General features: G+C 44.9%; 1 long non-coding RNA gene across 1 annotated transcript, besides 1 other annotated feature; it reads left to right on the top strand.

The window, feature by feature from the left end:
* Positions 1-14,699: 14,699 nt before the first annotated feature.
* LOC105370658 (uncharacterized) lies at positions 14,700-18,335 on the top strand. The gene is made up of 4 exons (XR_944197.3): positions 14,700-15,011; positions 15,892-15,965; positions 16,729-16,803; positions 17,929-18,335. It is a non-coding gene; the product is annotated as an uncharacterized LOC105370658 (long non-coding RNA).
* Positions 18,397-18,994: an enhancer, noted in NCBI's record as "OCT4-NANOG-H3K27ac-H3K4me1 hESC enhancer chr14:99285865-99286462 (GRCh37/hg19 assembly coordinates)". NCBI's record gives its function as "activates a minimal SCP1, AML or CMV promoter by ChIP-STARR-seq in naive H9 embryonic stem cells {active_cell/tissue: H9 hESC(naive)}" and the evidence as "EXISTENCE:reporter gene assay evidence [ECO:0000049][PMID:30033119]".

Here is a 27,218-nt window from a genome sequence, read left to right as displayed (position 1 = left end):
CTCGCTCCCCATCCTCCCTCCACCAGACCCTGGTCCCGCCATTCCAGTTTCTGTCTCTATGAATTAACTACTCTGGGAACCTCATATGTGTGGGATCACACAGGATTTGTCCTGGATGACTGTCTTATTTCACTAGCACAATGTTTTCAAGGCTCATCTGCGGTGCCGCATGTGTCAGAATTTTCTTCCTTTATCAGGCTTAATAGTGTTCCATTGTATGGATATACCACATTTTGTTTATCCATTAATCAGTCTATGGACACTTGGGTTATTTCTGCCTTTTGGTGAATAATGCTGCTATAAACACGGAAATACAAATATCTGTTCTTGTTCCTGCTTTGTGTTCTTTTGGGCTTATACCGAGAAGTGGAATTGCAGGGTCATGTGAAGATTCTATGTTTCACTTTGAGACAGCCTGGAGAGGCCGTGTCTTCAAAGGTGTGCTCACCACATTGGGATGGTGCCTGCAAAAGTCATGGCTGGAAATGGCACCGCCAGCTGTCTGACTCTCTCCACTCTCTCTTCTGGCTTCTCAGCACCCGCCATGGGTGGTCAGTCAGGCCACACTCAGATGTGTGGACTCAGACATCCTGTATGTGGGAGAGTAAGAGGTGCATTTAATTGAAGTACATTAAATTCATGATACTCGCATGAATCAGGTGTACTATGAGAAAACTGGTGCTCAGAGAGGTGAAGGAACTTACCTCACATCACACAGCTGGCATGTGACTTCAGAGATTTCAGTCCAGGCTTGCCAGACTCCCAAGTTCCCACTGCTGTCCCCTTACTCCACTGGTTCTACTTCACTTCTCTGGAAAGGCTGCCGCCTCTGTCCAGCACTGGTCCCTTATGTCTCACAATAGGACTGTGAGGCTGCAGAAGGGGATGCCACTGCTATGCCCCATCCATCTCCAAGACCTCAGTGCCCACCCCAGGTCTGCCACAGAGCATGCCCTGAGCCCATGCATGCACAGATGAGGCCGTGGAGACACAGATTCTATTACCAGCCTAGGGAACGAAGTGATGGATTGACTTCCAGCAAGCTTAGACTGTGGAGAAAGAGTGTGAGCCTGGAGTATGATACAGAGATGAAGACCTTAGTCAAGGTGCCAAGAACGGCGAGCTCTAGCTGTGCCTCTGTCACCAGCTGTGTGGACTCCAGCAAGTTTCTTTTCTCTCCATGCCTTAATTTTCTCATCTGCATAATGGGATGAGCTTTGACAACAGCCCCTTGGTCCTAATAAACTGTGTCATGAGCACAGTCCCGGGCCCCACTGCCTACCTCTGCCTGCAGAGACCATTGACATCGCCATCCCTGCCCAGAAAGGTCAGAGGCCCTCAAATCTGGGCTTTGGAATCTGTGTCTGCACAGGGCGGAGCTGTGCATGGCTAGAGGGTCCTCGGACGCTGAGATGTCCATCTTTTTGACCTGATCGGGTTACATATGCTTCCTCCAAAGTCCTCTGTCCTGCGTCCCCCAAGCATTAAGTACAGCCCCTTGCTGTCTCAGAGCCTGGCTTCTCGACACTACTAGAGAGATTGGGTTCTTCCAGAGTCCTTTTTTGGCTGGCTCTGACACGCTCTGGCTCAGCCTTCCAAAGCCAGACCTGAGGGACCGACCAGAGAGTGCAGGCGACAACAGCTTGCTTTTCTGATTGTTGTTGTTGTTTGTATTTTTGTAAAAAAAGAGAGAACGGATTGAGGATGGAGTGTGTGGCTGTGCGGGATGCGACAGAAGTGGCCACTTACTGTCGAATGCTTTGGGCTCGGAAAAACCCAAAGTAGAATCATCCAAGTCTTTGCTTTTAATTTTTCAAAAAGGTGTATGTGAGTGAGTGCAGTGTGTGTGTGAAGTGAGTGCGGTGTGTGTGTGTGTGTGTGTGTGATTGGCAGAGTGATGGCCTCTCAAAGACATCCACGTCCCAATCCCTAGAACCGAGGGCTCTGTCACACGCTGCAAGGCAAAGGGGAATGAAGACTGCGGGTGGGATGAAGGTTTCCCAAGGGCTGACCTTAAAATGGAGACTATCCTGGGTGATCCTGGTGGGCCCAATGTCATCACAAGGGTCCTTAAGACTGAGAGCAGGAGGTGGGGGAGGAGGCCACAGTGCTGCCCCCGGAGGCAGGCCTGCCCTACCTCTGCTGGCTGCGAAGATGGAGGAAGGGGCCCAGAGTTGAGGGACGTGGGCCACCTCCAGAAGCCTGGAAAGGTGAGAAAGGGCTTCTCTACTGGATCCCCCAGAGGGAGGGCGGCTTTGCTAGCACTTGATGTTAGCCCAGAGGGACACATGTTGGATTTGAATGCCCAGAAGAGAAAGGCAATATATTTGTATTAAGTCACTAAATCTGTGGTAATTTGTTATAGCAGGGATAGGAAATTCATATAGTGTTTGTGTGTGAGTGTGAATGGAATGTGTATGTGAGGTGTGTGCATGTGTGTGAATGACTGAGTTGTGGCCTGTGTGTGTCTTGGGGGGGTGAGTGTGAGTGAACAGGTGTGAATGTGTGTGGGTGACTGTGAGTGAGCAGAGGTGTGGGTGAGTGTGAATTAGTGAGTGTATGTGAGCGTGAGTGAGCAGGTATAAGTGTGTGTGGGTGAATGTGAGTGTGACTGTGTGGGTGAGAACAAACGAGTGTGGGTGAGTGTAAGTGAGCAGGTATGAGTGTAAGTATGTGGGTGAGTGTGAGTGAGCAGGTGTGTGAGTGTGTGGGGGGTGTGAGTGAGCAGGTGTGTGTTAGTGAGCAGGTGTGAGCATGAGTGTGTAGGGGTGAATGTGAGTGTGTGGGTGAGTGCAAGTGAGCAAGTGAGTGTGTGGGTGAGTGTGAACGAGTGGGTGTATGTGTGGATAAATGTGTGTATGACTGAGTGTGACTGGGTGTGAGTGTGTGAGCATGTGTGTGAGTGAGCGGGTGTGAGCATGAGTGTGTGTGTGAGTGGGAGTGTGTGTGGGTTTGAGTGAGTTGGCGTGTGTGAGTGAGCAGGTGTGACCGTATGTGTATGCAAGTGAGCAGGAATGAGCATGTGTGGGTGTGAATGAACGTGAGTGTGAGTGAGTGGGTGTGAGCATAACTGTGTGTGAGTGCACGTGAGCAGGTGTGAGTGTGTGAGTGAGCCGGTGTGAGTGAGCCAGTGTGTGTGTGAATGCGACTGAGCAAGTGTGAGCATGAGTGCATGTGTGAGTGAGCATGTGTGAGTCTGTGTGAGCTGGTCTGTGCGTGTGAGTGAGCGGGTGTTAGCATGAGTTTATGTGGGTGTGAGTGAGCTGGTTTGTGTGAGTGCGAGTGAGCACGTGTGACTGTGAGTAAGCGTGTGTGTGTGAGTGTGAGTGAGCATGTGTGAGCCTGTGTGTGGGTGTGTGTGATTCTTTCAGAGGAAATGCCATTGACACGTCCCTGAGCCATTTATCCCCTAAGCATTGCAGGATTGCCTGCTGAGAACTTCTTACTGGTCCTGCTGACTTTGGGGTTGGTCTAACACCTCCCGACTTCTCCCAGCCTTCACACAGTTGCTTTCCCTGGAGAGAACCTGGGCCCAGGAATGAGAAGCAGTCGCATTTTCTTCTCAGAGCTCTGAACATCTGCAGGCGTGAAGCTGCCTCCTTGAACATTAGCAGGTCAGGATCCGATGTGGCATGGACACCTGGGTTCCTGAGGCTTAGCCCAGGTCTTTCTGAGTCTGTGAGCTGGCCCAGGCCCCAGAGGGCTGGTCCAGGTTGGGGACCAGCTGAAGGCTCTGAGTGCCCTGGTAGCCTAGTGACCCAGAAGGCAGGGGTTGCCCACAATTCCCTGGTCATTGCAATCCCCAGGACTGGAGGAGCTTTCGAGGGCATAAGATTTCAGAATTTTACTACCATTAGTCTGGGGCTGGGTCCCAGCTGACACTGAAGGGTACACCTAATACCTTTTCTATGATAGGGCTGACATGTACACAGGCACCTCTCTATTGGCTGCTAAAATACCCAAATTCTTCTCAACAAAATTGGTTGGTAACTAGCCACTCTCTGAGGTCCGTAAGTGCTGCCCTATCCACCCAGCCTCTTCCCTGGGATCCACCATCCAGCAACTGAAGGGCTAATGTTCAGCCTTGCAGGGCATCTCTGGGACCCTGCTTTAGCCCTTCAGTCTCATTTTCTCTGATTACCTGGTTGTCTGCTTTCCCCATGTTAAGTATTTTGGGCATTACTCCTGATTGTCACAACATTTTTGCTGAGTCACAAATACTGCATGTTAGACAGTAGGAAGGCGTGGGAAGGAGGAAAAGAACACAAGCTCTTTTGTCCTAAAAAACTTTGCATGGGCCCATCAGCCTCTCTAAGCCTAATTTTACATACCTTCAAAATGGGCATACTAATGACTAGATTACCAATAGAACCAGACTGGCCCACCCTGTAGAGATTTCTAGCCAGCAATTACTGCCTCACTAGATAGGCATTCAGGCCCTCTTCTGTTCCATGTATCTGTGATAGGCTGGCTACCTTCCAGAGGTCCTGTTTTCTGACTTGCTTATATTGGCCTAGTGTGAACTGGTCTCTGGTGAAACACAGATTTTTTCTGTGAACACTCAAGAGTGGTTCTCCCTGGAACTTCCCAGCTCCTTCTGTCCTCTCATCAAGCACTTGTTTTCAGGCTGGAGAAGCTCTCCACCTGCTGTGATTGACATTCTCTGGGCCCCACTGTGTGATGGTTAGAACTTTCCAGGCTCAAGTTATCAGCTCTTCAGCTCTGCCCATCCCTGGGCTCTGAAAGTCCACCCATTCCCATTCCCATGAATCTCTTCCCACTCCCTGTACCTGACGATGTGGGAGGGTGACTGTCTTGCAGCCGCCAGCCCAGGCGTTAACCTCCCAGGTCTCCACTGCCAGCCTATTTCTTTCTTTCCTTGAGTCCTGTCCACCCAGCTCACAGGGTCTCAAATTCTGTTTCCTCACCAAACTTGGCAGGTCACTTCATAGCCTGCTTCTGCATGCAACCTTGGAATCTCCCCTGTTGCTGTCTATGACCCCCTCACTTTCTCCTGGCTTCTTTGCCCACCTATGGAAGGAGGATGAACTTATTTTCTGAAACCTCACCAGGAGAGATTGGGATCACAAGTGGGTAGAAGCCACAGGGACACCGATTTGTGGTCAAATGGAAGAAATGCTTTCAGAGGTGACTGGGGCTATCCCAAGCTGGAGTGGGCCACCTACCAGCTGGGAATTTGGTTCTTGGCTCTTCGGAGGGTTGAGGTCAAGAAGGACCCAGGTCCAGGGCTGGAGTGTGGGAGTGGAAGGGGCCCATCTTTAGGCAGATTCTTAGTCAAAGTTCCCCTGGTTTGTCTTCCTCCATTATTCTTGGTATTTTTTTGTCTTGAAACTGATCATCAATTCAATTTTCACAACTACCTTTCTGAGTTGGAAAGAACTTTTCCATTTTGCTTGTCAAGAAAGTAAATCTTGGAGAAGTTAAATAATTTAATTTATTTAAATAGACAATTCTTCTAATTTTTAACAACCAAAATTTCAATCCATGTTTTATTTGAATGCAAAGAACATCCACTTTCTGTGATAACACACTAGTTGAATACACTGAATAGAAAATGATATTTTATTTCTTTCTCCTTGAAAAATCATTTTAATACTCAAAAGAATTGAAAACAGGGACTTCAACAGATATTTGTACATCCATGTTTATAGAAGCATTATTCACGATAGCCCATAACAACCCAAGAGTCTATTGATGGATGAATGGCTAAAGAAAATATGGTATATACATATAATGGAATGTTATCTAGCTTTAAAGAGGGAAGAAGTTCTGATACATCCTATGTCATGGGCAAACTTTAAAAACATTGTGCTAAGTGAAATAAGCCAGCCAGAGAAAGACAAATTCTGCTTGATTCCACTTACCCGAGGCATCTAGAGTGGGCAAATTCGTAGAAACAGAAAGTAGCTTGGTGGTTTCCACGGGCTGGGGTGGGGAGGGAATGGAATGGATGGTTATGGTTCAGTGAGGACAGAGTTTTAGTTTGGGAAGATAAAAAGAAGTTCTGGAGATGGATGGTGGTGATGGCTTCCTAAGAATGTGAATGCACTTCATGACACTGAACTGTACATTTAAAAATGGCTAAAATGGCAAATGTTATGTTATGTGTGTTTTACCACTATCATAAAAAAAGCTTTTTAAAAGGAATGTCCAGAGCATAATTTAACATTATACGCTTATGGATCTATCACAGGGCAGGCTGTTAGAACAAACTGCAGAGGCCCTTATCACAGATAAGCAGGCTTGATGTCCCAAGTATCCTTGGAGCAATGGACCACTCAACAGATGATTAAAAAATACAAAACAAACAAACAAAAAAACCCACATGGTATTGATACTTAATATTTGCAGGCAAATGACATCATGAAAAATAAAATAATGTTTTTTCGGAGAAGCCACACTGTGGAAAGTCAGATGCAGGTTGGAGGGCAGATATGGTGGCTTCCTTAATGCCTACACCCCAGGTCAGGTGGATATTAGCACAGCCTTATTTGTAGCTACTGACACAGAGGTCACGGGCTCACTAACACACCAGGGGTCTCAGTGGTGGCCCTTGTCTTTGCACTCCATCCTCACTCCCTGTCTTCACAGTTGAGCCATGTGTGTGGTATGTGAGTGCATGTCCACACACACGTGTGAGCGTACAGCTAAATGCATATGTGTCGTCCGGATGTGCCACCAGGTAACATAGCCTCAGCAGATGATTCTTAGGGGCGAAGATCCCTCCTGGGAGTTTGAAAGACAAGGAGAAAAGTCTCCACCTACATATCTCTCCTCTGCAAGGGATGCCAAGGAGGACTGAGAGGCAGGGTCTGCATTCCCAGCCGGGTTTACCTGGTCGCCCAGGACAACAGACTTGCAGGCAGCCAAAGAGATCGTCAAGCAGCCGAGCGTGACAGTCAACATCAAAGTGGGAATGCCACTCCTTGATCCAGACTTGGCCATACCTGCCAGGGCAGAGTCTCGCATATGACCACCCCGGGAATTCAAAGGCGTTCTTAGAGCAAACGGACACCACACACACACACACACACACACACACACACACACAGCCCGAACGCAAAATCCTCCTCCTACTTTCAAATGAAAATAAAAGTCCAGACATCCTTTCTTCACAATTCTTCACTGACCTAATTATTCAGATCTGTGCTTCCTTTTGGTCTTTTCAAAGAACAAGAAGAATGGTTAATTTCACTTAATGGAATAATTGAATGTCATAATTGTTTTTTACATTTCAGCACAAATGTTTGAGTTAAGCTGCACACACTCTCTCTCCCTGTCTAGAGCTCTTAATAACCAGGCTGCTCAAAGAGGCCTTTCTGTTCCATCTTTTTGTTTCCTAACTGGACTGTCTGGGCCGGCTTCTGGCAGCCGGCATGTTCTGGGAGGGGGTCTGGGGGGAGTGGCAGTTAATGACTGTTTTGGTCTTGGATGTTCTGATCTCTCTCTAATTCATTATTTGTCAGGCATGAGAGGCACCCCGAACAGGATCATGAACAATGCCTTTTTATTCTCACTCTTATTCTCTCTCCTTCCCTCCTTTCCTTTCTTATCCTTCTTCATCTTGGATGAGGGAATAGAATCGTAACACAATGGCAGGTCCAAGAAGTCATCATTTTCAATGAAGTTTGCTGCAGTCTCATTTTATTCTACCAACAGCTAAGCTTATGCTAGTAGATTCATTCATTTGTTCAATCATTCATTGACCATATATGGAGAGATTACTATATGCCAAGACTGTTCCTAGGTGCTGGGGGTCTAGTGAATACAATATTCTGATAGAGACACAGGGTCAAAAATTCAGTAAGCACAAGAAAAGGTAGCTTCCATTGGAGGTACGTTTTGTGAAGATAATAGAACAAAATATGATGTAGCATTACTGGGGAGAGAGGATGGTTGGCTTAGCAAAGGGGTACCAGGAAGACCTCTTTAAGGAGTTGAGAAGAGATGAAGAGAAGTTGTCAAGTGTGGGAAGAGCTGGTGGAGAGGGCACTGCAGGTAACAGGAGCAACTGGTGCAAAGACCTTGAGGTGGGAGGGCCATCAAGGAGGCAAGGGTGACAGGGGAAGGAATCAGCACAGGGTGTAATTAATTGTCATGGATGGGACTGAAGAAGCAATGTGGAGCCAAGGCACACAGGACCTTGCAGGCGACAGTATGGAATTCAGATCTGTTCTCAAGACAGTGGGTCACCATAAGCAAGGAAAATTAGAAATAGTAAATATTGGAAAAAGTCTCTCTTGCTTCTATGTGGAGATGAGAGGAGAAGCAGAAGGATCAGTGGATGAGCTGCTCCAGTCCTCCCAGGGAGCATTGCTGGTGCTTTGCCAGGCGGGGTGGGATGGAGATAGTGATAAACACTCAGTTCCAGAAACACTTTGAAGGTAGATCTGCCGGGACTTAGCGATGGGTCAGAAAAGTGTGTCAGGCTGGGACACGAAAGAGGGGCATCATAGGTTTTGGCCTGAGTAACTGAGCAGCACTATTAATGAAGACTGTGCAAGACATGGTGTATTCATCAGCGGGGACAGGTTGTGCTGCAGTAACAAATAACCCCCCACGTTGCAATACCTTAATACAACAAATATTTGTTTTCATGCTTTTATTCAGTGCAGGTGCAGAGACACCATCTGGCAGCTGTGCCTTCTAGGGCATGTGGCCATGTAAGTGACTGCAGTGTGGAAAGGATGACAGCATGGAGATCCCACAGCCCCTCTTCTATGCTCTGGCTGAGAAGAGACACATGTCACTTTGGTTCTTTGCTCCCTGCCCAGAACCAGTCGCGGGAGACAAACTGTGCACCAAGAAGGGGATATGAGTCAGATATTTGTGAGTACCAGGATATCTACTACTGCAGGGGAGGCACATGTCTGAGTGGGAGATAAGGAGTTTTTCCTTGTATGTGGTAAATATTGAATATCCAAGTGGATAACTGCACTGGGGTATTAGAGCCCAGGACTCAGGGAGAGAAGCTGGGGCTTGATATAGAAATGTACAGTTGCTAGTGAATATCTTTTACTCTGTTTCATGTCCTAATTTTGCATTTTGAATACAGCAATGACAAAAATGCAATTATTCCCTCACCCCAGATTTGCTTAAAGGACACATGATATTCCCATCAATTTCCATTTAAGTACCTAGGAAAGTGCTCCTAGGAACAGCCCACCTGTGCTTGGCCCTGGGCTGTCTTCACAACCATGCATCCAATTAGTCCCATAGCAACCATTTATTCATGCCACAAATATGTCCTGAGCACCTACTATGTTCCAGGTACAGAACAATTTCATGAGTTTGTAAACTTTTCACACACTTGTCTCTGCACATTTGCTAGAGCTGCCGTTTTGTGGTGTGTCTTTGGTATCCCATCTGCCTGGAAAACTCCTATGCACTCCTCAAGGCCCATCTCAATTTCACTGCCATTGTGAAGCATTTGCTCACATCTCACTTGTCTCCCCAGAAAAGTTCTCTGCCCCCTCCTCTGGTGCCCTGCTGTGACATCTCAGTTGTTGCCCTGTTGGTCTCCCCACTAGAACTGAATTACACAGGGGGTGACTTATTCATTTATTCGATAAACACTTAGCAAAGGAAAACTGTGTTTTACCATATAGAGGCCATGGAACAGATCGGCTGTCAGTCTTCTTCATGTTAGCCACACCCAGCTTGGGTTGAGTACGTCAACCCATGGTTGGCCATGATAACGTCCTCCTCTAAGCACTCATGCCCACTCTGTGCCTTGCACGATGCTTTGTATTTTACAAGTAGCTTCTCACTGGCTTCTCTGCCCTCACCTGTACTCCTCTGCCCCAAGTCTGTTAAAAACACAGCAGCCAAATAACCCTTTGAAAAGTGTCTTGAGGTCTAAATTACATTATATCAATCCTTCCAAAGCTCAGATAAAATCATGTCACTGCTCTTGTCAAATTCTCTACATGGCTTCTCATCTCTCTCAGAGTCATTGCCCAGGTCCTTGCAGTGACCTAGCAGTTTCCAGCACTAGGGTAATGCTCCCACTGCTTCTCTGGCCCATCCCCTTGCTCTCTCTACCTAGCCCATGCTGGGCTCCTGGCTTTTCTTCAGACTCCAAATATGCTGTCATCTTAGAGCCTTTGTCCTTACTCTCCCATCTGCCTGGCACCCTCTTCCCCCAAATGCTTGCAGGGCGTGCTCCTTGGCCTCATTCAGCCTCTGTTCATGTGGCCTCAGCTAGGGTCTCCCTCTGCAGAGGGCATGAGTATTCAATAAGATCATACAAGGAAAGCACTCAGCATGGTTCCTGGTACTTAGCAACACATGCCAGCTGCTGCCATGTGAAGATCATGCCATAGGGCATGAAGGGTTGCGGATGGCTGGGTGTCCCAACCTGTTCCCTCTTTCCCTTTGCAACTGAAGACTTAGAGTTTATGATGTGATATGCCAATAAGAGAATGACGTGGGCTGTGGAGATCCAGGTAGAGCTAAATGAAGGCTACAAACACTTCTGTGATGTGTAGAACCCACCAGGCCCACCTCACATCTAGCCTCATGAGAAGATGCCTTCTGAGGGGATTCCTGCATCCTGCCTACAATGCCCCCTTCTCAATTTCTTCTCTTCTCCATTTTGCTAGCGTTGACCATTTCTAACTTCTCATGGAGATACTTGTGCCAGGCCCATCTGCCCATCAGAATATATCTTCCTCGAGGCTGAGATCATGTCTTTACCTTCTGTGTCATGGTACCCAGCACAGGACCTGATACTGAGGACACAGTGAAAGTGTTTGCTCAATGAATTAATGAGGTCTTCTTTACTCTTTCAGTAAATGGATACTATAGCTTGAAAAAGCAGAGATATTTTCCCAGGTTATCAAACTGGGACTCAGGAAGCAGATTCTTTCTCTATTGAAAATCAGAATAAATCCAGCTCCATGGATTTTACCCACTTCCACTTTACTGCCCTTTTCCTTGACAGTGAGTCCCACCTGCCATTCCTCAGCCCTCCCCTGACCCCTCTCTCCATCATCACTTCCCACTTGTGTTCTGTTCGCTCTTCTCCTGGGCTTTCTAAGTTCTTCCTCTTTGTCTTGCATACGTGGCACTGTCGTCCACTCAGTCTGCTGTTGACCTGGGTTTCCAATGGCTGGGGTCCACATATCTGCAGCATTTACAGAAAATTTGTGCACGTCAGATTACATGAAGACAATGGCTCATTCCATTTTCTTGTTTTCACTTGTGCAAATGGTAGGACAATTTTGGGAAATTTAACCCTAAAAGATCATAGAACGTACTGCCCTCATCTGGGGCTGGGTGAGATGTGAGATAGCAGGATGGAGAACTGCTCTTACTCTTGTCTTCCTCTGGGGCCAAAGAGGAGCACCCTTTCTCTCTGACTTTGAGGTGATCCTACACTCCCCATGGAGCCTCCTGGTCAAATCCCATCACTAGAAGGGATGGGGTACATGAGAAAGCCTTTATGTTTCTCAGAGTTTTGTCTGTTTGGGAATTTTTTATGGGAACTGAATGAAGTTGTTTATGAAAATGAAATTTGCAAATGAGAACATGTTCATTCAATAAAGCAACGTATGAATGCCTGCCTACTGTGTGTTTGGCACACAGCAGGTCCTTGGGGAGGCAGAACTTAGTAAGACACAATCCTTGCCATTAGCTCCCCTTCTAGCTTCATGCAAATTACAGGAAGTGGCTTTTGCTAAGCAGAGGTGGCCTTCTGCCAGAACACACAGCTTGGCAAGAGGAGCATAGACTGGATTTTCCTCTGCACTTGGCCTCTTATCCAGATGACCCCAGCAGTTAACAACCTGTATAACCTATGGGGCAGTCCTGCCTGCCATCAGTGAGTGGTGGCAGGTACTGTTTAGAGGAACATCTTAGATTCTATGGGACAAGCAGACAGACTTAGCCAGGTGCCAACTCTGCTGCCTGCTAAGGATATGACTTTGAATGAATACTTGACATTTCTACACCTCACTTTCCTCATCTGTAAAACTGGACTGAAATGAATGACTTCCCCAGGTTATTGCAAGATTTAGATGGGATAAGAAATGTGAAGGCATTTTGATGACTCTGGAATAACAGGTAAATATGGTTGTCAATCTACATTATCGTTATTACCTGTGTTATTGTGTAAATCATGCTGCAAGCAAATGGGCTGTATGGTCCAGCTGGAAATCTAATTGTCACTTGGAGTGCTTTGCTTTGATGATAGTAATTACAGTGGAATTCATTGTGGACTCCAAATTTGCTGTTTGAGCTCCACTTCATATCCCTTCATGTTTTCTGTATATGCACAATGACATAAGGCAAATCATTTTCTGCTTAGCAAAATTTTATCTCGCTTGACAAACATTAGTCGAGGTCCTACTCTGTTATATATTTCACTACATATAAAGGATGCAGATCTGAATAATGTACAGACCTTGCCATCATGGTGATGACAATGTAGTGAAAGAGACCAACATGGACATAGGAAAATTTAGGACAAGTCAGAAAGTGGTGACTGGTACAAAAATGGAACAGATAATGGGGGAAATTCAAGCAAGTGAGGAGATCATTATTTGCAGTACGGAAGTCTTCATGTAGCTGTGTCATTTGATCTGGGTGTTAAAGGGTGGTTACGACTTGGGTATTTGGAGATGGGGGAAAGGTGCTGCTGATAAAAGGACCACTGTGGAGAACACAGAGAGGAAGGAGGAGTAGATTTCAATTTACGGAGATTTGGGATTAAGAAAGAGGGGGACACTTTGAATAAATAGATGGAATAAAGATGGACCACAGAGCCTTTCTTCTATAACATTTAATTAAATGAATAAAAATTAATAAAAAGCAGCCAAGAATGAATAATTGCAATAAAGCAAGGAACTAGACCCAATCTCATGCTATTTACATGCAGAAGTGGAGTCAAAAAAAGAAATGTAAGATTCTGAAATGACTGTCTGCATATTTACTTCAACCCCCCAAATAATAACTATCCCATAAAAAAATGAGTCAACTGAGTCTGGGTGCGGTGGCTCACGCCTGCAATCCCAGCACTTTGGGAGGCCGAGGCGGGCAGATCACGAGGTCAGGAGATCGAGACCATCCTGGCTAACATGGTGAAACCCTGTCTCTACTAAAAATACAAAAATTAGCCAGGCATGGTGGTGGGCCCTGTAGTCCTAGCTACTCAGGAGGCTGAGGCAGGAGAATGGTGTGAACCTGGGAGGTGGAGGTTGCAGTGAGCTGAGATCGCGCCACTGCACTCCAGCCTGGGCGACAGAGCGAGACTCCATCTCTAAAAAAAAAAAAAAAAAAAAAAAAAAAAGTGAGTCAACCAAATTCTCCGATATTTTTTGGCAAAAGCCCCATTTCCTAACTTTGAGATAGGTAGACTGAGGAGATGAATAGGCAGCTTTAGGAAACATCAGGGAAAATTCACTGCATTTTCTCCAGGTAACACCAGTCTATATCAGTCAAGGTAGCAACAGGATAGAGTTGGAGCTAAATTTGCTTATTCCTAATCTCTTTCTGGAGTTATGAAACTTGTTTCCACCTGGAGTGTCTAGCCTTGCCAGGAAAATGAAGTGGATTAATAAAGAGTGGAGGGGCCAGTCATGCACATCTGTTAGGGGCTCAGAGGAAGAAGCAGATCCCGGTTTCACAGCAAGAAGTTTCTTTATTTAAGAAAACAGAAGATTTGGGAAGCGATGCACTTGTTTAGGATAAGTTAGGTGACAAGAAATAATTTGGCCACTCTAGAAATATGCTACATCAAAAGACAATTATAAAAAAATTAAAGACCATTATATATCAAATACAGATGAGGAAGACATAATCCCAGAAACTGAAGAAAATCCTTAGCAACTGCTGCTTTGTGTTATCTAAAATATAATATGATCATAGGTTTAGTAAAATAGGTAGTCAACAAGGTGTTAGTGACATCACAAGATGGAAAGAACATGATAGGATAAAGTTAAGAAAACCACATGATTACTGAAACAACAGCATGCCAGAATCAATAAATAAATCACAACAAAGAAAAGAACTATGTGGTTGAAATACTGAATTAACTGATATTGGGAAAATGCTTGAGAAAATCTAAATGAATGCAGAAAAAAGAGATTGACTCAATCAGAGGAAAGATAATAGACAAAGATAATGTCTTATATGACTGATCTGTGGCCCTAAAATCTAGAAATCAACAAATGGGACAACTGTTCATAGTCCTAATTAGAGGAAAAAATTCTCCTGAAGAGAGGAAAGAAATTTATTCATATTAAAAGACCACACTACGTTTTACAAAAAGTCAATAAAGAACATTTGACACCAAGACATATCCTGTTTAGTTTATTGAACACCAAAAGCATGTGGAATTTTTCAGACATCTGAGTGGGAGAAAAAAATCAAGATTTAGATTTTCCCGCAGCAACATGTCACACCCAAAGACAGGGAGCAGTACATAGAGTTCTAAATGATATGAGGTATGAATCAAGAATCTCATTGCAGGTAAGTTGTATTTCAGGTATAAATGCAACAGGCAGATATTCTGAAACCTGAAAGAAGTTATGCAATAGAGTCCTGTCAGGCCTTAGGAAGAAATAGTGTTCTATGTTAAAGTCCAGCAAATCAGAAGGTGATCAGAAGATGGTTGCACAGCCTTCAGTGTCCCCAGAAGGCTGATATATAAAGTTCTGAGGGAAATAAATGTGACTTCCAGCTCCAGATTTCACAACCAGCCAGATCACTTGAAGGCAGGGGCTAAGTCTGATTTTTCTCCGTAAGTATAATGACACAAATGATCAAAAACAAACAAACAGAAAACATGGACTATCAATCGAACAGTAGAATCTCAAGAAACACAGCATGTTAGTGCCTTTCTTTTTTTTCACCCTCTCAACCCGGCTTTTCCCATAAGTGCCTTTCTTGAAAAAAACAAGAAAGAAATTGACAGCAAATTTCAACTAACCAAGCGATGAATTAAATGAAGAACTCAAGAATGGGGAAGCTGAAGAGAAAGACTGGTGGTAAGCATTGAGACTATAGAGATGTTAGATTAATAGTAAAATCATGTAGGAATTATGGTTATAGATTGGAATGCAAATATTAAAAAACCAACTGATGTAAAAATAATAATATGACTAGCTAGATGAGGGGCTGGGAACATTTTTCTGTAAAGGGCCAGCTAATAAATATTTCAGGCTTTGCAGGCCATGTAGAGTGTGGTCGCATATTTATAAAATTTTATTTATTTATTTACAACCCCATGAAAATTTAAAGAGCTTTCATAGCTCATATGCCATATAAAAACCGGCTGGGGCTGATTTTGGCCCATGGGCTGTAGTTTGCTGACCTCTGACCTAGATCATTGGTCTCTTATCTACCATTAAATCTATGAGTCAACATGGCTTTGCTTTGCATAATGATCCCATTTTCTCCACTCTTGACTATTTGGAAAAGCTCACAATGTGGCTTTAAACAAAGATAAAGAGAGAAAGCCAAGCCGGACCTCACAACTCCAAGTCATGACACAAACCACTCTGCCATTTCACATGCAATTCTAGAGCTGTCCTGTCCAATATGGAAGCCCTTTCCAATATGGCAGCCATTACCATATGTGGCTGGTGAGCACTTGAAATGGGGCTGGTTCAAATGGAGATGTGCTATGAGTGTAAAATAGACACTGAATTTTTAAAACTTAGTATAAATAAAAGAATAGAAGTATCTCATTAATAATGAGTGATTTTTGTATTGATATATGTTGAAATGATAATATTTGGGGTATTTTGAGTTAATTAAAATATATTATTAAAATTAATTGTACTTGTTTGCTTTACTTTTTAAAAAAATGTGGTACTAGAAAATTAAAAATTACATTGTGGCTTACATTATATTTCTATTGGACAGTAGAATTTGAAGCACCTGGCAAGAAGATAAAATAACTTTTCATAAAGATGGAGACTTGCCATGAATGAAACCAGGTGTGTTAGGCAAATGGATTCTTTGTCTTCTGTCCCTTTGTTTTCCCAGTTGAAAGGAGGGTGGCTAGAGTCCCTTAAAAAGAACGTGAGGCTTCTGTTCAAATGGTGGAGGTTTCACCTGTTATCTCCGTGGCCTTAGGAAAGACTGGCATTTTGAGGTTTACTTTCTCATTGAGAAATAGGCAGAAAAGTTTGTGGAGAAGATTTAATACAAATCTCTATATTACAAAACCCTATAAATAGTTGTATAAACGAAAGGGTTCAGTAATACCCGCCTCACCCAGAGGTGGGCTGGTTTCATGAACACCAGGATTTAGAACTCAGCTGAAGGATGAAGCTCTTCGAGGTGGGCGGGTTGTGTCTCCAAATACATCTGCCTTCCCCAGCTCTGTCTTCCTCCCAGTATGTGCCCTACTCTCCCCTACCTTTCTGCACCACTCAGCAGGCTGTGCCACGAGTTCCTTCTGTCATTACTCTTTCTCCTTTCTATGCTGTGCCTGGGCTGAAATAACCCCTTTCTCGCTATCTTCTATTCAGCTCCCAATGAGACTCCGTCAGGCAAGCTTAATCCCTTCTTCTCTGGGCTGCCTGGTCTTCTCACCTCTCCTCCCTTCTCTTCCAGTTTGGCTGTTCCTTGAAGGCGGGGATTATATCTGGTATACCTTAGTAAACCTCACAAACAGCCTGGACTCGGGTCCAGTTGACCCCCGGCGATTGATTGGTAAACAAATGCACGTGCAATGACATTTACTCTCACTTTCAGGCAACTTGTGGAAGAAATCCTTGTAACAAAATCCTCACCTCTGTTGAGAAGTTGCATTGGAAAGACCATTTGGGGGTAGGCATTGATACCCCCAGTTTCTGCATGAGGATGGGGCTGAGAGAAAATGAAAATACTGTCGGTCTTGATTTGAGGCCCCTCAGAAGCAGATGCTGAGACAGAGGATTGTGTGCAAGGACATAGTTTGGAGGGTGGTCCAGGGAGACCTCCTGGAGGTGGCCAAGAACGAGGTCATTTCTGTGCAAGTGTTTCCTGTGGACACACCTAGAGGCTAACCCTGATGGGGCACCCTGGGAGACAGCACAGAGCCTATCTCTGAGCTATCCCACCTAGGTAGGGAAGAAAGCCTGGGGATCTATTCCCCATCGTCCATCCATCATGGTGGAGGCCCAGGGGGAACAGATCTACGTGGAGGGCTAGGTCTCTTAGCATCCAGCTTCTCCCTCCTCCTAGCAGACGAGCACAGCTGCAAGCTGGGCTGGTGTGCACTGCAGGAGAGCAGTGATCATGGGGACACCAATGTGTCTGCTACATCCACACACCCAACATTTTTTTCCTTGTTCATAAAAATGGATTTTGTTTGCAACACCAGTGTGTCAAGGCAACGAATCACATGTGGACTAAGCGAGATATGATCATCCCATCCTGTTAATTTTTGGTCTTCTTTGAAGACAAGCGGTGATTGTGGGACCCAGTTTTGATAATGAGACCAAAAGATAGGGCAGCTCTGGAGGCTTTGGGGAAAACTTCTGCTTTTCTGATCTGACCTATCTAGCACCATGCCCAACCCCTTCTTCTAGAATTTGGTGTCAATATAATTTGTAAAGTCACAGCAGCCTCCTTGGCATCCTGAGTGAAGAATTTTGAGAACCGCCGTCATACCATGCCTACGTTGACCTGCACGCCCTGGTTGTGTGGGGAAAATAATGAGTTAGGTGCATGGGCGCTGGCGCTTAGATTTTCCCTTCCCTGCCAATGAAAGCACTTCCACCTGATGCTCTTGGGGAAAATGGGGGAGGAAACGGGGTGGGGAGGTTGTTTATAGAAGGCCAGGTACTCCAGGATGTGACACTATGGACCGCATGGCTCCCCAAATTTTGGAGAGTAATGTTTTCTATTGCTGCTGTAACAAATTACCATAAACTCAGTGACTTAAAACAACACAAATTTATTCTCTTACAGCCCTGGTGGTCAGAATTCTAAAATCAAGTTGTCAGCAGGGATGGGTCCTTCTGGAGGTTCAGGTGAGAATCCTTTTCCCTGCCTTTTTTAGTTTCTAGAGGCCGCCTGCCTTCCTTGGCTCAAGATCCCCACCTCGCATCACTCGGACCACTGCTTACTTCCATTGTCACAACTCCTACTGTCTGAGCCTGTGTCTTCTTTCATCCCTTATATAACGACACTCATGATTGTGCTGGGTCTACCCAGACCATCAGGATCTTTTTCCTCAAGATCCTTGACTTGATCATATCGGCATAGTTCATTCTACCATAGGAAGTAGCATTCACAGGTTCTAGGGATGAGGACATGGATATGTTTGGGAGGGACATTATTCTACCTATGATAGAAGACACAAGTGGATTATTTTAAAAATAGGGAGCAAGTATTCTTCATGACTGGATACTGGGGCTGGGGGTGGAGGCAGGGGTAGGTATTGCATTTACATGCAGGAGCACCAAGGCAGACAGAAGCAGGAAGTGAGCTGCAGAGACAAGCAGAGCTCATAGGCCCAGGGCTGCGACTCTCGAAATCCTGGGACAAGTTTAAGTGTGAATAGCTGGGGGTGGGGGAGGGGCACAGTGACCACCTGGGTTACATGGATGGAGAACTCAATGAATATACAAATTGGTATCAGTGTTCTCTTCCTGGTGAGGGAAAAACCAAGCTGTCCCCTGCTTCCCTCCTCCAGGGGTTCAGGTGCTGGGCATAGTCTCTTCTGTCCCAGGAGTTTAGATAAGCACTCAGCCTGTGCTTGCACTTGGGGCCGGTCGGGGGGAGCCTCAGGGAGGTGAAGGCCAGGCAGATGTGCACTTCCTGGGCAGCCTCCCCAGACAGCGGGAGGCCTGGGAATTTGGGCCTAGAACAAAGCCTCTCTGCTGGGAGCACAAACAGGCTGCCAAGAATGTCGCTCCACTGGTTCCTGCGCCTGCCCCTCAGAGCCCTGCCCTGGGCAATGTGGAAGAGCATCAACAGAAGGAGAAAATCAATCAAGCCCTGGAAAGCCAACCCCACTGGCACACGCAGCCCTCGTCCTCTCCACTCCTTCACAGCTCCTCAGATAATCTGCCCCATTGGTTTCAGGCCTTTATGCATTTTGTTTGGTTTCTAGAGGTGGGTGGATATTCTGCAGAAGAAAAGGGATTCAGATATACTGGGCGTTCAGCTGAAATAATCCTGTGGAATAACCACTATGACCCTCACTTTTGGAAGGAGGCTCAGAGAGGTTAGGCCACTTGCCCATGGTCACACAGCACACAGGTCATAGAGGAAAGACAATTCTGGTCTCTGTGTGGCCTTCCCCAAACTCCATGCTCTTCTCAGCTGACAGTTGCCTCCTTCCCTCTTTCAACCTGTTAGTGGACATAGACTTGTGGAACAGGCCCATTTCCTCCACCACTAAATAATGGGAAACACAACGGCTTAACTCAAAACAGGGTGGGGGTTGGGAACAAAGCCATGCCAAGATATTTTAAGTCAAACTTCGCGATAAACGGAAATTTGATATTTCTGGATAATTCCCAATGAGCACCCTTCCCCTTTAATTATCTTGTGGTCGCCCTTTCAGAGGTGATTAAAGCTATTCTTTAGTAGATGTGGTTATAGATTGAGTGGGAACCTGGTCTTTCTTGTGGTTTTTATCGTAGCAATTAAATCTGGCCAGCTCATAGAAGCTGTGTGGCAGGAGGGGTTTTATCAAGCAAAATGATTTTCCCCTTCGAGCAATGTTAAATTTAGGAAAAATACAATTAATTATACCAGACAGGTATCTATTATACATTGTGCATGCATTAGAGCTCCTGGGCTCGTTTCACTCAGAGAGGGAGGCTCTCTCCTCCTAGCCTGTGTGTGTCCCAGGCCAAAGCCCTTCACTGAGGGCTGGCGGGAAGCTTCCTGCCCCCTCCCACCCCTCAATTCAACACCCACAACTCTTTGGAAGTAAAAATGAAAGGACTTATGTTTACCAGAACTTTCTCAAATGCTATCAAAGGTGTATTTTGGTGTTTATGTTGATAAATAAGGGTGTTCCCAAATAGCAGAGAAAAAAACCTTTCACCTCTTAGAAGAAGAAAAAGACAAAAAAAAATTCATCTGACCTCTGCCCTCTACTCACTGTGACTCAGGTGGATCCCCCCAAGATCTTCGAGGCTCCTTTTTTCCCCTTCTGCAAAATGAGAGGGTTAGACCAGATAACTTCAAAATCCTGCTCAGCTCAGAGCTAGGAATGTAAACGAAGGCTCAGTGGCACGAAGTCCTGATTCCTCGTTAAAAGACATAATTAATATTTTTTCTCAGGTGCTTGCTTTGTGTTCCTGATGTTGAAAGGGGCTTGGGATTCGTATATGATTATACTGTTTCCTTTTTGCTGGAAGCTTCATTAGCGCTCAGATAAATTTAGGAAGAAGGATTCTTAAACATTATTGATAAGCTTCGCCCATCTGTATTGCCAGTGGGAGCTGGTGTTGAGCATATGCTCTGGAAGTATTTGCTGAGAAACAAAAGGGTGACTTTTGAAGATGTCAGTGATTTGATACCATCTCCTAAACACCAATGAAATGTCAGACATGTCCATTACTCACTCATGCGATGCAGATACATTTTTATAGAATGCACATGTCCAGCTGGTCCATGGACTGGGTTTATGATGCAGCCAGCTTGGGTGCAAGGTCCCAAGTGCTTCCATCTCTTTGTCTGATCCTAGTCCCTTCTCTAACCATCATCTTTCTGTCTCCGTTCCCTTTCCTGATAAACTGGGATAGGTTTACCTGCCAGCTGTCTCACGAGGGTGTTGTGAGGATTAATGAGATAATATTTTTTAAGTGCTCAGAGATCTTCTGATGAAAGAGGCTATAAAAGTACAGAGTGTCACTATTATTATAATTAATGGCATTTCTGAGAGCTTTCAGAGTATACATTGGGTTGCGCCAAAGACAGAGGAGATCCCTGCTTCAGGAGGCAGCCGCCTGTAGGAGAAAACAAGGCGTTAGACTCTGTGTGTGGCCCAGACAGAGGTGACAAGTGGGCTCAGATTCAGCAGTGGGACGGGCGTTGAAAATCTGATTCCACAATAGGGGGTATTGGTGGGGAAAGCGCCTTTGCCGGGAGACAGAGGACTGTCTGCAAAGATGGCTTCCCTTCCAGGGAAGTATGGCCAAGTCGAGGTCAACGTGTGAGCAGATCTCAATGTGGGCACCAAAGCAAGGTGCGTCCCTGGGTGGCTGTTTTTCCTGTTATGCCCTGTACACGAGGGAACCTGCCAAAGAGTCTTGCTCCTCACCACTTTACTCCACAAACAATGACTGTGGTCCTGCCAGGCATCAGGGTTCCAATGAGAAAAGGCATCATCCCTGTTGCAAAGAGCTCAGAATCTGCTGGGGAAGACTGACACATGCTCTAGGCGTGACTGTAGGGAATGGGAGTGCTGTCAAAACAGACGGAAAGCAGGAAAGCCAAGGGCACTGTGGGAGGACAGAAAAGGGTGATTTGACCATACTATGGAAGTCAGAGAAGGAGTCCTAGAGGAAACAGCCCCTGAGCTAACTTCTGCAGGTCCAGGAAGGAAGCTAGAGGGAGGCCAAGAAAGGAGACAGCCCACGCTCGATTGGGGTCGCTGTAAACAGGTGGGCTGTGGGATGAGATGAGGAACCTGAGAGCTGAGCGGGGGCGGCCTGCCAGGAGGAGGGTCTGACGTGAGTTACTGCCACAAGGAGGGGTGAGTAGGGGCCCCAAGGAAATAGCATTTGGGGGACCAGTTCAGGCAGCTGGAGGAGAGGAGGTTTTTTTTTTTCGGTATCTGTACTGCTTGCTCACATGTCTGAGTTGTGGATAAAACTGCAGGGTCTTCCCTGGAAGACTTGATGTATCTTTGGGAAATGAGGGCTAAGTAGAGTGCCAAGCACAGGACCTGCTACATCATTTGTGGGACCCAGTGCACAATGAAAATGCTGAGTCCCTTGTTCAAAAATTAAGAATTTCAAGATGGTGACATCAGAGCATTAAACCAAGATCAGGGTCCTTCTAAGCACAGGGCCCTGTTCAACTGTGCATGTTGAACCCCAGGAAACCACCTCTGACCAACCATGTGGAAGGTGTTCAGTGCCTGGAACAGGACAGCACGGCGCACATGGTGGAAGTATCGGGCCGCTAGGCTGGTCCTCTGGCCATTCTCCTGTGCACATGGACACCATTCTGGTGGCCAGGAAGAGAGCAACAGGTGTTAACATAGAAACGCAGGAAGAAGAAGAAGAAATTCTGGTGGCCCTTCCATATACGTTGGATAGAAGTCACAGAAGGTTTCTTCTGTGTCCAGGGCGGGAGCCTTGCGAGTCAGTTCTTGCCTTGGCACCTGAATGCATATTCTTGCCAGATGTATCAGAGTAAATGGAAGCACTAATTTCTGGAGTTCGTATGCCAGTGATGGTGCCAACACATCGGATCAGCAGGAACTTCCACAGAGAAAACTCTGGCAGATGTATGCGTCTTCCCGGGAGGAGAATTCGAAGTTAATCAATAGAATTCGTATATTAATTCAGAAACACCTTTTGAGCACTGACTTTGCCAGCTTCTTGCCTGGGAACTGGAATGTAGATGGGAGCGAGACACAGTCCCTGCTGTCCTCATGGGGCTTTCATTTTGTGAAACCTGACTAGTAAAGTACCAATTATTGCTAAGGCAAGTAACACAAACTTTCACTGCTCTTTTCTTTATTTAGATGTCTTCATCTACAAAATGCGTTCTATTTCAGTAAACACACAAATATGTGTAAGGTTTCCCATAGTTTGTGTCTTACTTCTGAGCCTACTGAATGTTGTTTTCCCTATAAAATCTTGAGCCTCTCTAGCTGGTCTTTACCTACCAAGAGGATACACAGGAAGATGACATCCTTAGGATGGAAGCAGCCACTCTACTCTGTTGTTTTCCAGAAACGTAGTTTTATATTATATTTAATCATATCCATTAGCATTATTATTGTTGAACTCAATTGGCGTTTGCTTAGATTTTCCTTTTGTGTTTTCCAATCTTGTTCATGGTTCCTTCTTGTATCTCAGACCTCATTGCTGCATCTTTTCCCTTCTCAATTATGTACATCATTTATACGTTTCTTTGGTGAAGTATGTTGGTGGTAAATTCTCACCTTTATTTTTAAGAAATAATTTTGACAGCTTATTACAGTTTTTTAGATCATAAATATCTTGGAAGTTCAAATAAATAGTGTGTATGTGTGTTTGTGTATGCCGGTGTAGGAGTGTGTACATGTGTGCTATAAACCCGAATATGCTCTTTTTCAAGTCATTTGGGTACCACAGCAGTCACGATGACCACTGGAAATGTCATGGGCTCAGTATCAAGAAGACAGAATTTTAATGCCATTTATTAACTTTGCGACTTGGGGAAGACTATGTACTCTCTGTAAGCCTCTGTCTCTGCATTTTTTTTTTTTTTTTTTTGAGATGAAGTCTTACTCTGTAGCCCAGGCTGGAATGCAGTGGCACAATCTTGACTCATTGCAACCTCCGCCTCCCAGGTTCAAGTGATTCTCCTGCCTCAGCCTCCCAAGTATCTGGGATTACAGGTGCCCACCACCACGCCCGGCTAATTTTTGTATTTTTAGTAGAGACAGGGTTTCACCATGCTGGCCAGGCTGGTCTCGAACTCCTGACCTCAAGTGATCTGCCCCACCTCAGTCTCCCAAAGAGCTGAGATTACAGGAGTGAGCCAAGGCGCCCAGCCTGTCTCTGCATCTTTAAATTGGGGAAAACAATGCTTTTTCATGGAGTTTTTGTGGCAAGCAGAAGGAATGTCTCCCAATGCAGCCCTTCAATACATTGATCGCAGCTATTATTAATCTTCTGTGTATTCAGTGTCATCCTTTGAAAAAGTTATGTTTGCCAGGAGCTTTTGGAAAAAAAAATTCACCCTGACGATAGTATCACTATCTCACAGATTCCTTCCCCTGTCTCTTCCCTCCCCTCCTCAATGTTTTCAAATTTAAACCCACCACGTTTTGGGAACATGTCTGGGAAGTCCTTCAGCATGTAGACCAGTGACAGTGTACAAGACAGGGTGCACCCTGGTCAGTGCCAGGCTCAGCCCCCTCTGTCTGCTTCTTCTGTCTGTCAGGTTCAATAATTGGACTGTCACATCACTGCTTTCTTTAGTGCCAAAGCCTTAACTCCACTTCTCCCCAGTGAGGACCTGTGAATCAGGTCAATGGGCTAACCACAGCTTAAGCCGCTATCTTTGAGCCGGGCAAACTCATGGTTCTAGACCTGTCAAAGCCCACCGGTTTCCAGGTTCCCTATGCTGCCCTATTAAAGTAGAAAGTCATAAGCCGGCATTGAGATTTTCAGAAGGGTGGATATGACATCCTTTCCAGTAATTTCCTAATAGAACCACTTTTCAAACAGGTTGTCAGTTATCTAAAGCCTGAGTATATTTTCCTCTAAATGGAATTTAATAAGATGGAAAGCATTAAAATGAGAAAGAGAAAAATATTTGTGCAGTGGAAGGAGTACCATGAACTTTGAAGTCATAAACCTATGTTCGGACTTCTCCATGCTGTCCGTGCTGGGAGAACTACTGCAGCGTGCCATGCAGCCTCGGCGCCTCAGTCTCTTCCTCTGTAAAATGGGATGGCCGCTGCTAACTCGTAAGGCAACTTGGAGCAGATAGCATACGAAGGATCTAGCTTACTGCTAACACTGTGTGTTTTCTGTCTTTCTCTCCCTCCCTGAATCCTTCCCAATTATCATGCCATAGCTGAAAAATACTTTAGATACCATTTAATTAGAGCCCCCTTGTTTTACACATGTGCGAAGCTAACACCAAGTCAGTAGAAGATAGTTGCCAGAGGGTTCCAGTGAGAGGAAGACAGCATTGGAGCTACACCCAGACCCCACTTCGGGGTCCATCTTCAACCACCCATATGGGACTGAAAGTTCCCTCCCTCTTTGCCAGCTTAAGAAGTTTCTGATTGTAATTGAACAATGAATTAAAGAGAAGAAAAAAGAAGACAAATTTGACCCACGGTGGTTATTCCGTACATGTTTGTGGGATGCAAGGAATTCTTCAAAACTAGAGACTCAGATACAAATTCACTTGAGACATTGATGCTAAGAAATGTAATTTCAGGCATGTGTTGACAATTATGCCGTTCTGCCTCCAATCCTCATTACTGAAGGCTTGGGCTGGATTATACCATTTTTGGCAGCTGGGGGAAATGAAGTCAGACAAAGCAAAGGATGTGGTTGGATGAAAAGGCAGGCTCTGGCCTCTAGTTGGTCCAAAACAAAGTTCAAAGTTCTAGATCTTTGAGCCTGGAACTTAGTCCTCAACTCTGCCTTGTTCAATAATTTTATCACCAATGTGAACAACAACAGGGAATAATTTGGGAAGAAGACCAGGCGTGGAGAGAAAGCCCTGTTGCTGGCTGACAAAATCCAGGAAGACCTAGTAGATTCGAGTATCATGGTGACATAAACAAGATGAAAATTCATTAAACATGGAAAAGATATATATATATATATATATATATATATATATATATATATATATATATATATTTTAAATTGAAAACAAACACACCAAGAACAAAAACAAGGGCAGAAAAATTGAAGAGAGGGGTTAGGTTGTGATTTAATAGGTTTAATAAGCAGAAGTCTGAGAGATTATTAGTTGACTGTAAGGTTGATCATAGTCAATACCAGAATATTTCTAATACAACAGAATTGAAATAAAAATAAGTTTGGGTTGCTTTAAGAGAAATTCGCATTTAACAAAGTAAGATGTAATCTCAGCACTTTGGGAGGCGGAGGTGGGCGGATCACGAGGTCAGGAGATCGAGACCATCCTGGCTAACACGGTGAAATCCCGTCTCCACTAAAAATACAAAAAATTAGCCAGGTGCGGTGGCAGGTGCCTGTAGTCCCAGCTACTTGGGAGGCTGAGGCAGGAGAATGGCATGAACCTGGGAGGCGGAGCTTGAAGTGAGCCGAGGTCGCGCCACTGCACTCCAGCCTGGGCGACAGAGCGAGACTCCGTCTCAAACAACAACAACAACAACAAACAACAACAACAACAACAAAAACAAAGTAAGAAATGAAATGAGAACTGTTTATGTTTTTGTAATAAAATCAAGTTTGGTGGATATCATAAACTTCCTGATGTGATGTGAGCAGAAAGGACTTTATCTCTGTGGTATGATTTCCAAAAACTGTCACCCCAGTCCAGTCATGAGAAATCACACAAACCCAGACTAGGGGACATCCTATAGGGTGCCTGATCAGTACTCCTCAAGGATGTTAAGCTACTATACACAGGGAAAGGCTGAGAAACTGTAATAAATCAGGGGACGCTGAGGAGACATGATAACTAAGTGCATTGTGGTGTCCTGGATTAGTAAGATGATATTAATGGGAAAACTGGTGAAATTTAAATAAAGCATGTTTGGTAAATAGTGATGTGGCATTGTTGGTTTCTTACTTCTGGCAAACATATCGCAGCATTGCAAGATGTTAACAACAGAAGAAACTGGGTGAAGGTATATGAGAACCCTCTTCACTATCTTTGCAAACTTTCCATAAATCTGAAGTTTTTTCCAAAATAAAAGAATTTATTAAAAAACACTATGCTGAAGTCACATTGTCTAGCTCATTACCTAATGCCCCTACATAAGCAACATCTGTCATGATTTATTGTTTGGAACATGTTTGCCCCCACTGCTCCCTACATTGAGAGGCTGTTGTTTCTACTAGTCTGACAACTTGCGGTGTTAAATGTTGTATTTCCCTTTTTGCCATTACCACCAGGAAACTCTGGATCCAACTTTGATATTAAATCAACCAAATGAGCTCTCATGATTGCCTTCTTCCCTTTTCTAATTTCTATCATACATTTTCTCTTTATAGACATAAACTTTGTTGAGAACCACTCTTTTGCACTCCCCAATTCCATTTCCTAAGAGAGATGGAGGGCAAACTGGTGACTCATGAAAGAGGAGAGGTGGAGAGAGAGCACCATGTTGTTTGAGGAAGGAGAGCAACATCTGGGTTATCTTGGAGATGACCAGCATGGGCATGGCATTATCTCATGATGAGGACATGGTGGTTAATAGAGAGGTTTAGGCCCTCTCTGTGTGTTCACAGAGCTTAGGGTCAGAACTCAAGTGTGGAAATTACACGAAATGTCACCTTCTGAGATCCAAAGCTGAGCTGCAACGTTGCAGATTCATAGCATGACCTGCTACCTCATGCAAA

Source organism: Homo sapiens, chromosome 14, assembly GCF_000001405.40.
Source record: "Homo sapiens chromosome 14, GRCh38.p14 Primary Assembly".
Taxonomy (NCBI): domain Eukaryota; kingdom Metazoa; phylum Chordata; class Mammalia; order Primates; family Hominidae; genus Homo; species Homo sapiens.
This window is presented reverse-complemented; position numbering and strand designations above follow the sequence as displayed.